Source organism: Homo sapiens, chromosome 7 (assembly GCF_000001405.40).
Source record: "Homo sapiens chromosome 7, GRCh38.p14 Primary Assembly".
Taxonomy (NCBI): Eukaryota; Metazoa; Chordata; class Mammalia; order Primates; family Hominidae; genus Homo; species Homo sapiens.
In genome coordinates this window covers 104652832-104666733 of record NC_000007.14, presented here as the reverse complement: position 1 = coordinate 104666733, position 13902 = coordinate 104652832, and the positions used below count along the sequence as shown (strand labels likewise).

At 40.3% G+C, this 13902-nt stretch overlaps 1 protein-coding gene across 2 annotated transcripts in view; it reads right to left on the bottom strand.

Moving 5' to 3' along the window:
* The window catches only part of LHFPL3 (LHFPL tetraspan subfamily member 3), a 579959-nt gene that overhangs the window by 241828 nt on the left and 324229 nt on the right, over nt 1-13902 (bottom strand). The window lies entirely within an intron of this gene.

Below are 13902 nucleotides of genomic sequence, written 5' to 3'. Positions count from 1 at the left end.
CGGCTAAAAACGGTGAAACCCCGTCTGTACTAAAAATACAAAAAATTAGCCGGGCGTAGTGGCGGGCGCCTGTAGTCCCAGCTACTTGGGAGGCTGAGGCAGGAGAATGGCGTGAACCCGGGAGGCGGAGCTTGCAGTGAGCCGAGATCCCGCCACTGCACTCCAGCCTGGGCGACAGAGCGAGACTCCGTCTCAAAAAAAAAAAAAAAAAAAAAAAAAAAGAATGAAATCCTGTCATTTTCAGCAACGTCAATGGAACTGAAGGTCATTATGTTAAGTGAAGTAAGACAGGCACAAAAAGACAAATACTGCATGTTCTCACTCATATATGGGAGCTAAAAAAGTTGATCTCATAGAGATAGAGAGTGGAATAATAGTCACCAGAGGCTGGGAAAAGTGTATGTGTGAGGGCGGAGGGAGGGATGAAGAGAAGTTGATTAATGGGTATAAACATACAGTTAGATAGAAGGAATAAGTTATAATGTTTGATAGTATAGTTAACAACAATATATTGTATAATGTATTTTAAGATAGCCATGAGAAAGGAACTGAAATGTTCCCCAACACAGAAATGATAACTAGTCAAGGTGCTGAATACCTTAAATACTGTGACTAGATTATTATATATTCTATGCATGTAACAAAATGTCACATGTATCCCGTACAAATGTACAAATATTATGTATTAATAAATATTTAAAAAATCATTTAAAAGCTGTAATGGAATATTGTAAATAGGATTTGTAAAGGTAAAGCAGGGTATACCTGCAATGAGTTTGGAGTTTGTGGTTTTAAGCCCAGGGGGAGAACACTGCGTAGTAAGAGACAGAAGAGATGAGCAGCAGGAGAAATCACCAGCTCACACTGTCGAAGTCAGAGAGTCTTGTTTGCTAGTTAGGAGATTGTAAAGACACCTGTCAATCTAGGCACTGGGAAAAGTCAGACACAAAACAGGTCAATTTCCTCCTCATCTACAAGTCCATTAGAGATAGGTCATCTTTCATGCATCTGAAATAACTCACCTTTGAGCAGAGATAAAAAACGCATTTAAGCTTCACTGAAAAATCACACTTTCAGACAAGTTATGAACAAGGTATACATGTGAATTAGGGTGTCTATAACATCTATAATCATAGCTCTTGCTGCCTTGGATACAACTCAGGTCTTGATGTAATTGCTTTGTACATACACAAAGCCGGCGTTATGCACACAGAGGAGTCAAAGTTACTGTGGAAACTACAGCTTAGACATATCTGGAATTTTTTAATAGTTAAAAAAGCCTGAATATGGTTACATTTTTTTAATGGAATGGACTATTACAATTAGAACCTGGCTTTTAAATCTCTAAACCATATTATCCTCCTCTTCTGAAGAAAGTACCTCAATCATGGAAATAATTCAATATACTGTCTTCATGGACGGACCCAGTTGCTGAGTGTTCTGATGAAAACTATACAGGAAAGCCAAGAAGTAATTATAGATACACAAACTACCACTTTCTAGTAGATGCTACATTTGTAGATAACAAACATGTTTCCATAAAAACATGACCTATTGTTTCCAACACCGAGTGAATGACCTATTTTGAAAACCAGTTTTACATTAGCAGTCTTATGTATCTGGGTGAGAAATATTTAACTATAATCAAATTAGTGATTAAGTGCTAAAATTTATTCCCATGAACACAGTATTGCCTTTAAGAAATCTGAAATTCAATGTGTATTCATTTTATATGGCCAGCAAGATAGTTGTTACGTGTGTAATATACCTACAGCAGAGATGGCTAGAGGTCTTTCAAGGACACATGTTTCTTTTCCATGATGTAGAGTTGTGTCCAGCCAGGGACTACATTTCCCAGGTACCACTGCATCTAGTCCCATCTAAGCCATGGGACTAATTCTCACCAATGGAGGTGATAGATGGCACTTTCAGGACAAGGTGGTTCAGTAAAGAATGTGTGTTCTCTATCCTTTCTTCTCATGTCAGACAGAAGATTCTGAGATCCAAGGGCAGGGGTCAGCAAACTGTAGACTGTGGGTCAAATCTAGCTTGCCACTTGATTTGGTAAATAAAGTTTTATTGGAATGCAACTATGCTCAGTCATTATCTATGCTGTGCTACAACTACAGAGCTGAGAAGTTGCAAGGGACATGCAAAGCCTAAAATATTTACTATCTGGACCTTTAAAGGAAAAGTTTGCTGACCCCTGCCATAGGGGATAGTAGAGACAGGAAAGGAGCCAGTGTCCTGGAGTTATCATGCTGAGGAAAGGTACCTGACCAGGACTTTAATTTTGAACCTGAAAGAATGAGAAAGAAAGGAACTTCTGCTGTATTTGAGACATCTTAAAGTTTTTAATTAAAAAATTTGTATTATTTTAGCATGTATTCAAAAAGAATTGGAGGGTCATTTTTTTTATAGAAGCTGAAAGAAAGAATATTTGAGTAAAATGGCTAATTTGGTACAAGACTGCCTAATGTATAAGTACCATGGCAATAAAAATTTAACCTTTGGGTTATCTTTTTAATGGAGCAGAATGTGGGATGGAAATTATTTCTAGCTCTAGTGGACAAAATTCATTGTAATGTTGATGGAAATTATTTCTAGCTCTAGTGGACAAAATTCATTGCAATATTATCAGGCAAGAATCATTTCTATCATGATCAGTTTTCTAAAAGTCATCATCTATCTGCTTTGTAATAAATAGCAAGTCAAACAAAGGGACACACCCCTAAAAAATCAGATAATTTCCAGGTGGATCTGCTAGCTAGTACATCACCTTACACTGAAACCACATACAGCAATATCTTTTGTCCATTTCAAAGTTTTGATGGTCTTATGGTTAAGGTAAACAAACATGGTGTAAGTGACAAGGTATGAGTGAGTGATAGTTGAGCACCCAACTCCAAAGACCTCTCATTTACATGGATTCAATTCTAGAATCATAGGATTCTGTGATAGTCAACATAAATTTGTCTCTGTAATATATGACAAAGCCCCAGATCCCTGAGTTTTCTGGTTGGTCTCTTTCTGCATAAGATATGTAGTTTCCCAAACTTGCTCTCTTATATGGTAACCTGAAAAGTTTTGGCATATACCTTTGGCATAACTGTCTTTGGCTTCCCATGACAATAAGGCTGCTAGCAGGGCATATGAGTCTTTTTACAACTCTGCATGTTGTACATGAATTCTCCAACCAGATGGTGTAGCCATTTTCCTTTATAATCAGTAACCTGGATCAATGCTCAATGAGGGATGAGTGAACCATGGCTCCTCCTGAAGCTGGGGAATGCCAGCCAGAATCGCTGCATGATCTTTAGCTGAATCCCTCCCAATGAAAGTTCAATTCTTCCTGGGTTGGAATGCCCTGGCTGCACAAAGATGTTGAGGAAAAAGGAGAAATTCTCAAAGGTTCTTTTTAATATGTTGGCTGTTTGTTACTTCTGGTGTGTTGTGTTTTCTTTTTCAGGGTATGAGTTGGTCTTATAGCATGTGGTTAAAATAATTACTTTAAAAACCCATAAAGCATTTCAGATTCCAATTCAACATGTGCCCTAGACAACCTTGACTATAAACTCAAAAGGAGGAACTAGAAAACTTTCAAGTTCTTAAGTTTGTAGTCAAGGTTATAATGTTTTATTTTACATAGTGAAATTAACACTGACAGAATAGGCATACAAATAAACACTATTTTTTTAAATGCCCAGCACAGTTTAACTTGAGAGGAGAGGCTACATGAGGAACTGGGTCTGAAGTAAACCACAGTAAAGAGGAAAGTATTTTTAAACACAGATGGTCATGACATTTGAAATAACTGAGTATCAGTTTAAAATGTCTAAAGAGTGTTTCTGGAAAATCATATATTTTGACTTAAGACTTTAAAAATCAGTGAACTAATTGCAATCCTACAAAGTTTTTTGCTTTTATTAAATTATTTTGAGTCAACATTTGGGAAAATCCTGTTTCCAAATTCAGAAGATGTGAATTGAAAGAACTCCAGGAGCCAAGATAAGTTTCATCAACAGTAACTACCTCCAAACCCGCATTTACCCTCTTTGCAAGCCAGTTGAATATTCATTCATTATTTGTTTGTTCACTCATTTGTTTGTGTCATTCATCCAATAAACATTCTATTAAGTGCTTAGAAAGTTGTACCTACCATACCTCATGAGACACAGTTATAGAGAGATTTGACTGAAGCCAAGCTGCCTGAATTTGACCCTAGGCACCTTCATTTTTTAGCTGTGTAACTTTGGGTAAATTATTAAGGGTCATTGTTCTCAGTGTCTTCATCTGCAAAATGGAAATTAATAATAATAGCACTTGCATACTTGGGTCCTTGGGGGGATTAAATGAGATAATCTATGAAAAATGTCTGGAAGAGTGAAAGCATACTATGACTACTAGCATATTTCTGCCAGAATTATTATCTGAAGATGGTTTAATTCAGCCATACCACCAGAACTGAACCATAAAATTCAACCCCAAGCTGTTTTTGTCTCAGAGTTATTAATGTCCTTATACGGTAGTCTCCCCCTTATTTGTGGTTTCCCTTTCCATGGTTTTAGTTACCTGCAGTGAACCACAGTCTGAAAATATTAAATAAAACATTCAAGAAATAAACAATTAATAAGTTTTAAACTGTGTGTCATTCAGAGTAGAATGATAATGTTTTGGGCCATCCCACCTGGATTGGGAATCATCCCTTTGTCCAGCTGATCCATGCCGTAGATGCTACCTGCTCTAAGCCATTTTGTAGGTATCTCAGTTATTAGATCGACTGTCATGATAGCTCGGTGCTTGTGTTCAAGGAACCCTTATTTTACTTAATAATGGACCCAGAGTGTAAGAGTAGTCATGCTAACAATTTGGATATGCCAAAAAAGCCATAAAGTGCTTCCTTTAAGTGAAAAGGTGAAAGTTCTCGACATAATAAGGAAAAAAATATTTCATGCTGATGTTGCAAAAATCTACAGTGAGAACGAATCTTCCATCCATGAAATTGCGAAGAAGGAAGAAGAAATTTCTGCATGGTCTATCTAGTTTGGTACTATCCATGGCTTCAGGCAACCTTTGGGGGTCTTGCAAAGTATTTCCCTGGGGTAAGGAGGGACTACTGTATTATGAAGGAAACACATCAGATTTACCAATTACTTGTCCTTGTTCTCATCTCAAAATAACATAAAAATATCTTTTTCTTTTCTTTCAACCAAGTAAACTAGGACAAAAAAGTCAGGACAGAGGTGACTTCATTCACTTCCTGATTTAATTGCCTGTAGTTGGGAGAACAAGCATATGTGAGTAAGGGTAGTTTGGTGGTCTCCTCTTTCAAACGATGGTCCAAAATGAGTCAGTTCAGCTATTTAGTAATACTGCCCTGGATGTTTTAACTATTTGTGGGAATGACTCCAAGAAAGAGGGCACATGGGTAGAATAGGCAGGGCAGCACCTTCACACTCCTCAGCCAATGCAGTGACACTTCTGAAGATCAACGAGGTTTCTGTGTGTAGTTTACATCCATATATTCAGCTGCCATTGCCACCTCTTGAGAACCTGAGTTTCTTTGACATCATCTTGATGTTCACTGTGCTCTGGGTCCAGAGATGTCATGGACCATCACTGCACTGCATCCCTAAGCCTTCCTGATATCAGTGCTCACAGGATCTCAATACTGAGGCATCCCTCCCATTAAGAAGGTTAGTTGTACTAATAATAGAAATTTGACATCTCCATGACCACATCACCAGCAAGCAGCAGCACCAGTTTTAAGATTTAAACCCATCTGAGTTTACCATCTTAGGTATACTATGAGGATGTATGGCATCTACTTTTAGGGAAAGTGGTCTAGTGTCCTGAAAAGAGGACCAGAGACAATGGTGTATGATGGAGTATGTGACCTTGAGAAAACCACTTGACTTCTGTGTATTATGCAAAATGAATATTGATGCCTAAAGGGCTGTTGTGAGGCCAAATGTGGAAGTTTACAAAAGAAGAAAAAATCTATGCAGATGTGGCTATTAATATAACCTTCAAGGCAAAGACAGAAGTCAAGATAATCTAAATGACATTGCCCAGAGAGTGGCCTATTTCCTTATGCCTCTATACACAGTAGAAGGTAAATAGAAAGCTCACATCAAGCTGTTTATATAGCAACTTTCTAACTCTCTCTGACACCCAAATCATGTACCTTCTGCTAAAGGTAACTCCTGCATCCACTTGATAGAAATAGACAACGTGACATAGTACAAACAGGCAGCATGGCATGACTAATGCTTTCCCCCATGCAGACTGAGGAAAAAATCCATTATTTTTCCAAGCCAAGATTGATCAGAAAGAGATATCAGCCTGGAATTGGAGATGGGCAAAACCTGGATGGTTGTGCTGACAAACCAGATGGTGAACTGATCACAGTTTCAATTAAACAAAAAGAGTTGACTGGGCGTGGTGGCTCACGCCTGTAATCCCAGCACTTTGGGAGGCAAAGGCGGGTGGACCATGAGGTCAGGAGATCGAGACCATCCTGGCTAACATGGTGAAACCCCATCTCTACTAAAAATGCAAAAAATTAGCCAGGTGTGGTGGCACGCACCTGTAGTCCCAGCTACTTCGGAGGCTAAGGCAGGAGAATAGCTTGAACCTGGGAGGCGGAGGTTGCAGTGAGCCAAGATCACACCACTATACTCCAGCCTGGGCAACAGAGTGAGACTCCGTCTCAAAAAAAAAAAAAAACGAGTTGCTGTGGCAAACTGGAGGGCTAGGAAGGCATCAATTTGAAAGATCATAAAATGATCAGGAGGAAAGTGACATGAGGCCTTTCTCCAGGGGCCACTGGGCCAGCAGGCACACCAGGGGGCTACTTCTAACCCTATCCCTTGACTATTAGGACTAGTTGGCTCAGAAATAGGATTTGTGGTTAAGCCAGATTAAAGCAAGACAACCTTCTACAGTAGCAGCTAAGCTTGCTTCCTGATTTCACTGTTTGATCAGGAAGGTGAAATACCTTCCTGATTTTGAGAAGTCGCAAATGTGAAGGCCTTCTATCATTCAGTTCAGCTGCTTATTTAGAGCACTGCACTAGAATGGCTTTAATTTTTGTGTTGAAAAGTAGTTTCTTCAGTCTGTGTCAGGGACTCAAATCATTCCCCTAATCCTGCTAAGAATTCCCCCATCACTGTGTATTTAGGGCACCAGAAGCATTCAGGAAAAGCATGTGGCTATACCATATATTATGGAGTACTCCTGAAAGGTGTCTAAAAGTTCATGCCCTGCTGGGGCAGCCTTGGATTCTCTGGTGTGAGTGAAAGAGCACTGAATGACCGAACAACAATGGAAGTCTGGATCCCATCTTGGCTCTGCAACCTGGGTGCCATACTTAGGAGGAACCTCCTAAATTCCAGGTGCTGGCAGAGATGCTGGGTATGAGATGAATTCTGCCAAGGAGGAGCCAACAGTCTGTGGGGGCACAGACAGGTGCAGAACTAGCCATCTTCCACATGGCAGATGCCAAACCATCACAGCAAGCCAAGGGCAACTTGAGCAAGGACAGCATGATGCAGTCTGCTTACCTGGGGCTGGCCCTGAAGCCTGGGCAGGGTCTCATTTAGCAGGGAGGAGAAGAAGGGGGTTCCGTGGGAAGGTCACATGCAAAGGCACAGAACTGTGTAAGTGCATGGCACGTTCAGGGAATCTGATGGTGTAAGCAGTGGGACCTCACTGAACCTCGGTAAATTTCTACTTCACATGCCAATCTTGAGGATCTAATAAAGTAATGTTAGTTATGCTCACTCCTTCATCTCTTCCAGCTTTTCCCAAAGTAGGGTCTGGAAATCATCTGTGTCATAATTATCTGGGGTATGCGTCAAAAATTCAGATTCCTGGGATACCCACATTTGAATCTGGGAGGGTGCAGCCCAAGGAGATGACTTGTTTTTTAGTTTGTTTTTTGAGATGAAGTCTCGCTCTGTCGGCCAGGCTAGAGTGCAGTGGCGTGATCTCAGCTCACTGAAACCTCCTCCTCCTGGGTTCAAGCGATTCTCCTGCCTCAGCCTCCAGGGTAACTGGGATTATAGGCGCCCACCCAGCTAGTTGTATTTTTAGTAGAGACGGGGTTTCACCATGTTGGCTAGGCTGGTCTCAAACTTCTGCCCTCAAGTGATCCACCTGCCTCGGCCTCCCAAAGTGCTGGATTATAGGCTTGAGCAACCATGCCAGCCAGGTACTAGAGGTACGAGAGTACTCCAGGTACTAGAGATGGAGAACACTGATGCAATCTATAGGAATTCTGAGCAATTCCAAGGTGGACTAAACTGATTTCACAGATTTGCTGTGTAGCAAAAGGAGTAAATCAGCATGTTTTCAAAGTTGGACTGGAGAAAAAAAAGAGAGAGAAAGAAAGAAAAGAAAAATACAGAAAGAGGTATGTGTGCAATGTTGGGAACAGGTATTTCTTCTGAGTCCTTCTTTCTAATTTATCTAGAAATGCACCTAGATATTTAAAAGAAATCAGAACTGAGAACTTGCAAGAATATAGATACATTTATATTTAATGGTGCATAAAGTGCTATATGAATCTTATCTGACCAAGTCAGCATTAAATACCAAGCAATTCTAACTGCAAGGCAGCAGAAAATTTGAAAGCTCTCCATAATTTTACTTGAAATTATGTATTATTTTTTTCTAATGAGCACTTTATGATTTAATGTAATGGCCCTATCTTTTTTCTGTCAAAGGCTTAGCTTTGAAAATAATTGTGCTGGTATCTATGGAAAAATACTTGATTAAGGTGACCCACATATCACTGTAATTGCTCTCTACTGGCAAGTTAGTAGCCAAATAAAACGAGATATTATTCAGTTGTCAAAACAGAGGATTTACTATTGTTAGAGCAGCTCAAGTCAAATTCAATTGTGGAAGTTTTCAATAGAGTGGGAAAGAGAGTTTAAAGCTATGACTTCTGAGTTGGGAAGGGGAAGTCTGTTGAAGGAAGCTCCAGAGATGGAAGATGGAGGGATAGATGCATGGGGAGAATGAACATCACAGAGGGAGGGCAGCAACTGGACTGCAAAGGATGTGGGATTTGGAACCAGACCAGTATTTACATCCAGGCACCTTCACATATCTGGCAAAGTAATTAGCTACACAATCCTCAATTTCTCTAATAAAGTGGTAACATTGTCTACCTTGCAGGGCTGCTGTGAGGATTCAATCTCTACACATATTAGGCATTAAAGAAATGGCAGCTATTAAAACAAGACATTGGTATATCCAACAGAAACTTTAAAAATCTAGACTTTTTATTTTCAGAATGAATTTCAACCAGTGACCTTCTGCCTGAAGAATCAAACTTGGACTTGGCCTTTCCAATGCCATTAGCTACACATGGCTCAGAATAGCTGATACTACTGATAAGCAGGCTTAACCTGCCTTGGGAAGCAGGCTTCCTTTCAGCAGCATTTCATTTGGTCTGAATGCTTCAAAGACAGGTTGTACAAACTGCTACTTGTTTAAGAATATATAGAGTTGGATAACATATTGGTGATTGAATATTTTGATGCTTAAGAACCACTTGGAGAGGAATTCGTAATATCAATTAGTATGCTTATAAGACCGCTTAGCATGTATTATCTTCTGTTAGGTTATACATGATTGAAAATAAGTAAAAAGGGATAGGTGGAGAAATTGAGCCATCAAAGTCAGCCAGGCATTTAGAAATACCTTTCAAAAGAAAGTAAATGAGAGGCCATGACCTTCTTTCCAGCTAGGCATGCTTTTCTTCAGGTGTGGGCTTGTGAACAACCAAAAGTTCAGAAAACAGATGTAACATGGATTCCAAAGGAAAGTGCTATACACCACGATCTTTCTTTAAAAGGACAGTAGAATGTGAAGATGCCCATATGGATAATTAGACTGTCCACATAATGTGTTAAAAGGAAAATAAAACATGTTTGCAAATGGTCTTATAATCAGGAGATATTTGGCCAAGACAGGTCCATGACTCCTCAGGTCCTGGAGAATTCTGGAGAGGTGGAAGGGGAATGCTGTGAAGACAGTGATCTGAGTAATCTTGTGGTCATGAGCTGTGGATTTCCTCTGGGCAAGCTCTCCTCAGGTTGAGCAATTTTCAAAGGGCCACCCTTTTAGATCCTCTTCAGGAAGCATGAAAGGGAAAGATGCCCATGCACGATCTATCCCTTACTCAGGGTCATATATCAGCCTCTGCTGGGAGATCTGATCAGCTGGCTCCAGGTGCATCATGGGAAACTGGGAAGCAGGGGCTGTGAGCAGGAAGTCAGCAGTGTCACACCCCGGAAAGCAGCCCCTAGCCCCAAAGACATTTTTTTCCCCCTGAAAGAGCCACTCTAGCTTGTATTTCCCTCCTCTCTGGCCTACACCAGGCCTCCTCAGGCCTCACTAGGCTAATGGATCACTTGGGTTAAACTCACTTAAACTCACTTTTGCATAGGATGGTACTTAGCAATCATGAAAAAAAAAAAAAGTCCTCTGTGGCTTTTCATCTGTAATCCCTAATTACCATCTCATCTACTTTCTCTGGAATCATATAAAGCACATTTATCCCATTCAGGAATGTTGGAGTGAATAAAAATTTTTTAAAAAATTAGGAGCAGTAATATTGTTTATTTTATTTAGATGGAGAAGCTCCAATTATTTTTTGTACAACCAGATTGATGATAAAAGGTGTAAAACCAAATGTCAAAATTCTGAATTCTGTGATGAGAGAAATGAAACCTGCCTGGTAAAGAAAAGCCCTACGAGTCATTTTCTATTCTTATATTACCTAGTTCTTTCATTGAAAAAAACAAAATGTAATGCTTTTCTGGCAACAAAAACATAATAACTAGTTCTAACCTTTGTCAATGCAGCACAAAAACAGAGTTATTTTGTTTAACACCAGAAACTCACGAATTAAAAACTGAAAGTCATTGGTAACCAAGGAAACTAACAGTGAATGGTTGGGTGGAACTCATTCAAAGGAAGATAAGAGGTAGGAGACATATAATGCAGCATAAGTTAAAATCCCACTGCAAGAAAAGATGCACCTTGCCAAAGTAGCCTGTATCAGCTCTATTTACATTTTGCCAATTTCTTGTAACAAAATTCCCTACTACAAACAATCCGATACAAGAAATACATGTATTTGACCCTTGTCCACATAAGAGTCATGTTTGATAATAAAACCAATTAGATTTTTCATTTTGTCTGTGGCCCTTTAGCAATCCTCAATTCTGCACTCAAGGACTGTTACTCCAACGTCCATACCAAACATTTCCTGCCAAAATATTTATTTACTATTGGGATGACCAAGTTATCTCCTGGAATATAACATTGTCAATGCACCTATTCATAATGTAAACCCAGATACCTGCCTACTTAGTCATCTTTCTCCCTGTTTAATTACCAGTCAAAAGCATTAATAGGATGCCAGCTATGCTTGCACTGAGTGGAGAGTTAGAGGAGACAATATGTAGAACCCTTGGCCAAGGAACAGACAACCGAAGAGACAGAACAAGCATATGGAGTGAAAAATAAAAGACATTCAATGGGAAAAAACTGCAAGGGAAAACATAGGAACTGTACTTTGCCAAGTCTAGCTACATAGTACAGAGCTAATAGCAGATAGAGGGAGGGAGTGGAACGATTGTCATTGCTTAGGACAGGCTTCTTGGACTAGCTGAAGGAAGAAGGGAAAGAGGCAGGGATGGCAGGAGCTGTAGGAAGCTTCTGAGGCAGGGAATGTGTCAGGTGTGAATGATCAGAAGTAAAAGACAATAATTTGTACTTGGTATAAGGGAGTGCGAGTATGAACACATGTACCTCTGTGTATAAGAAAGTCGGCTTGGTTTGTACATGGTGTACAACCTACACTAGAGGAAGGGGCTGGTGGGGTGAAGAAGCATGTGATTAGGAATCTGGGGTTCATAGGATTATAATTGAAAAAGACAGAAAAAAATCATACTGCTCAGCTCTTCATTTTCAGGTAGGTAAATATCCAAAACATGGGGCACCTAGTTCTAAAACGAGACACCATGACCTTACAAGTATTATTACTACAACCATTTCTGGAGTGCTTTCTGGGTGCCAGATACCTCACTCAGAAGGTTGCAAGTAGTATGTCTAATTTTCATGATATTCCCACAAGGTAGGTACAATTATCCTCATCTTACAGATGAGAAGTCTGTGGTTTAGAGAAGGTCAGTAACTTGCCCAAGGTCATGCAGCTATTTGAGTCTGGGATGCAGATCCAACTCTGATTCCCAAATTGGAACTTCCCCACTATAACATGCTGCTTTTCTTAGATGCACACTTCAAAGAGTACTAGATGTAGGAAAGCATTAATTTCTGGCAGCTCATCTACATCCCTCTGGTCACGGAAATATGTCTGAATATTTAAAATAAACAGACAAAATTTTCAGACATTATCATCATCTGAAAGTAACAAATTCTGCTGGTCGGCCCTTGAATTTTCTGCCAGCTGATACAGGGCAAAAGTACCAGCATGACGTCATGGACAGATATCACATCTGCTTGGCTATTTCTGTTCTTAGATAAAGCAACTGACTAAGAAACCTATTAATTAAATCACATGTGGAGCTGCAATCCAATGGGACTTGGAACTGCCTACTTATGGTTTTGCTTTGGAAGCAAGTCAGGAATTTCTTGGCATGGAGTGAATGGGTAGACCTTAGGTGCCATCCTAAGATATTTTTAATGTGAGCATTGTCATGCAGGAAGTTGCTCCCAATTAAGCTTAAGTAGTGGGCAAAAAAGTGCTGTCTTTAGGGAAGCAACATCACCTGGTTCTGCGTGGAGGCTGCTGGCATGAAGCTTAACAGAATGAATTGGGCCTGTGGATTTGGGGGGATGCCAAGCAACAAATTAGTTCTGCACCTAGTAGATGAGGCTGTAATTTTTTTTCTTGGCTGGGAGGAGGGATGAATTTTTGCAGGTGAACATCATGAAAAAGTCCCTGCAGGCAGGTGGAATGTCAAAGCGTTCTATGAAAATTTGAATGATGAAAAGGGTGACCTGTACACATGGATGGGGTCAAACCAGGGTTTAGAGCAGGGGTGTTTGCAAGTGGTAGCTGCTCAATCCACCTGTAGCCTGTTTTTGGCTGGCCCATGAACCAAGAATGATTTTTCCATTTTTATGGGGTTAAAAGAACAAGAAGAAAAATAGACACAGACACCATATATGGCCTATAAAGCCTAAATTATTTACTATCTGGTCTCTTACAGAGAAAATTTGCTGGCCCCTGGTTTTGAGCATTGCCTCTATGGGGCCTTAGGGCCTCTCTCTGCCTCGCTGTTCCACTCTGGGTGGCCTAATCACTTGCACTTATTACTCCAACCTCAATTTTGGGTTCAATCTGTCTTCTCTCCCGGATGTTTCCACTCAGTTTTAAAATATCTTTATATTTCCATGACCCTGCCTCCTCTGATAAAGATTCTCTCTTTGACCAAACTTTGACCCCTCTTCTCCACTGGGCCTCAACCTTGGCCTCTAAGGACTGCAGACTCTCAGCACAAACGATTTCATGTACCCCAACTGCATTAAGGCCTAAGCCAACTGTAGCATGGTTTTTAATAGCTCAAGGCCATGTCCCTGGGACAACCCAGGCCTCCTTAAGCTCCTATCTGGGAAACCTTAAGGCTGCCAGAATTTACTGTTTGTTCCAGCCAACACCTGAAGGTAGGGCCCTGTCTCCCAGCCTCTGTGGAAAAGTAGGAGCCTAACTACATAAGCACCAGTTAACAAGCTGAGATGGCCAATCACAATGAATAGCCTCCCTCCCTGATTTTTGTAATTTTCCACTTCCCTGACTCTGCTGGAGCTGCCACTACCTACTTTTTCTTCTCTTTTTAAAATGCCCAGTCACCTCTG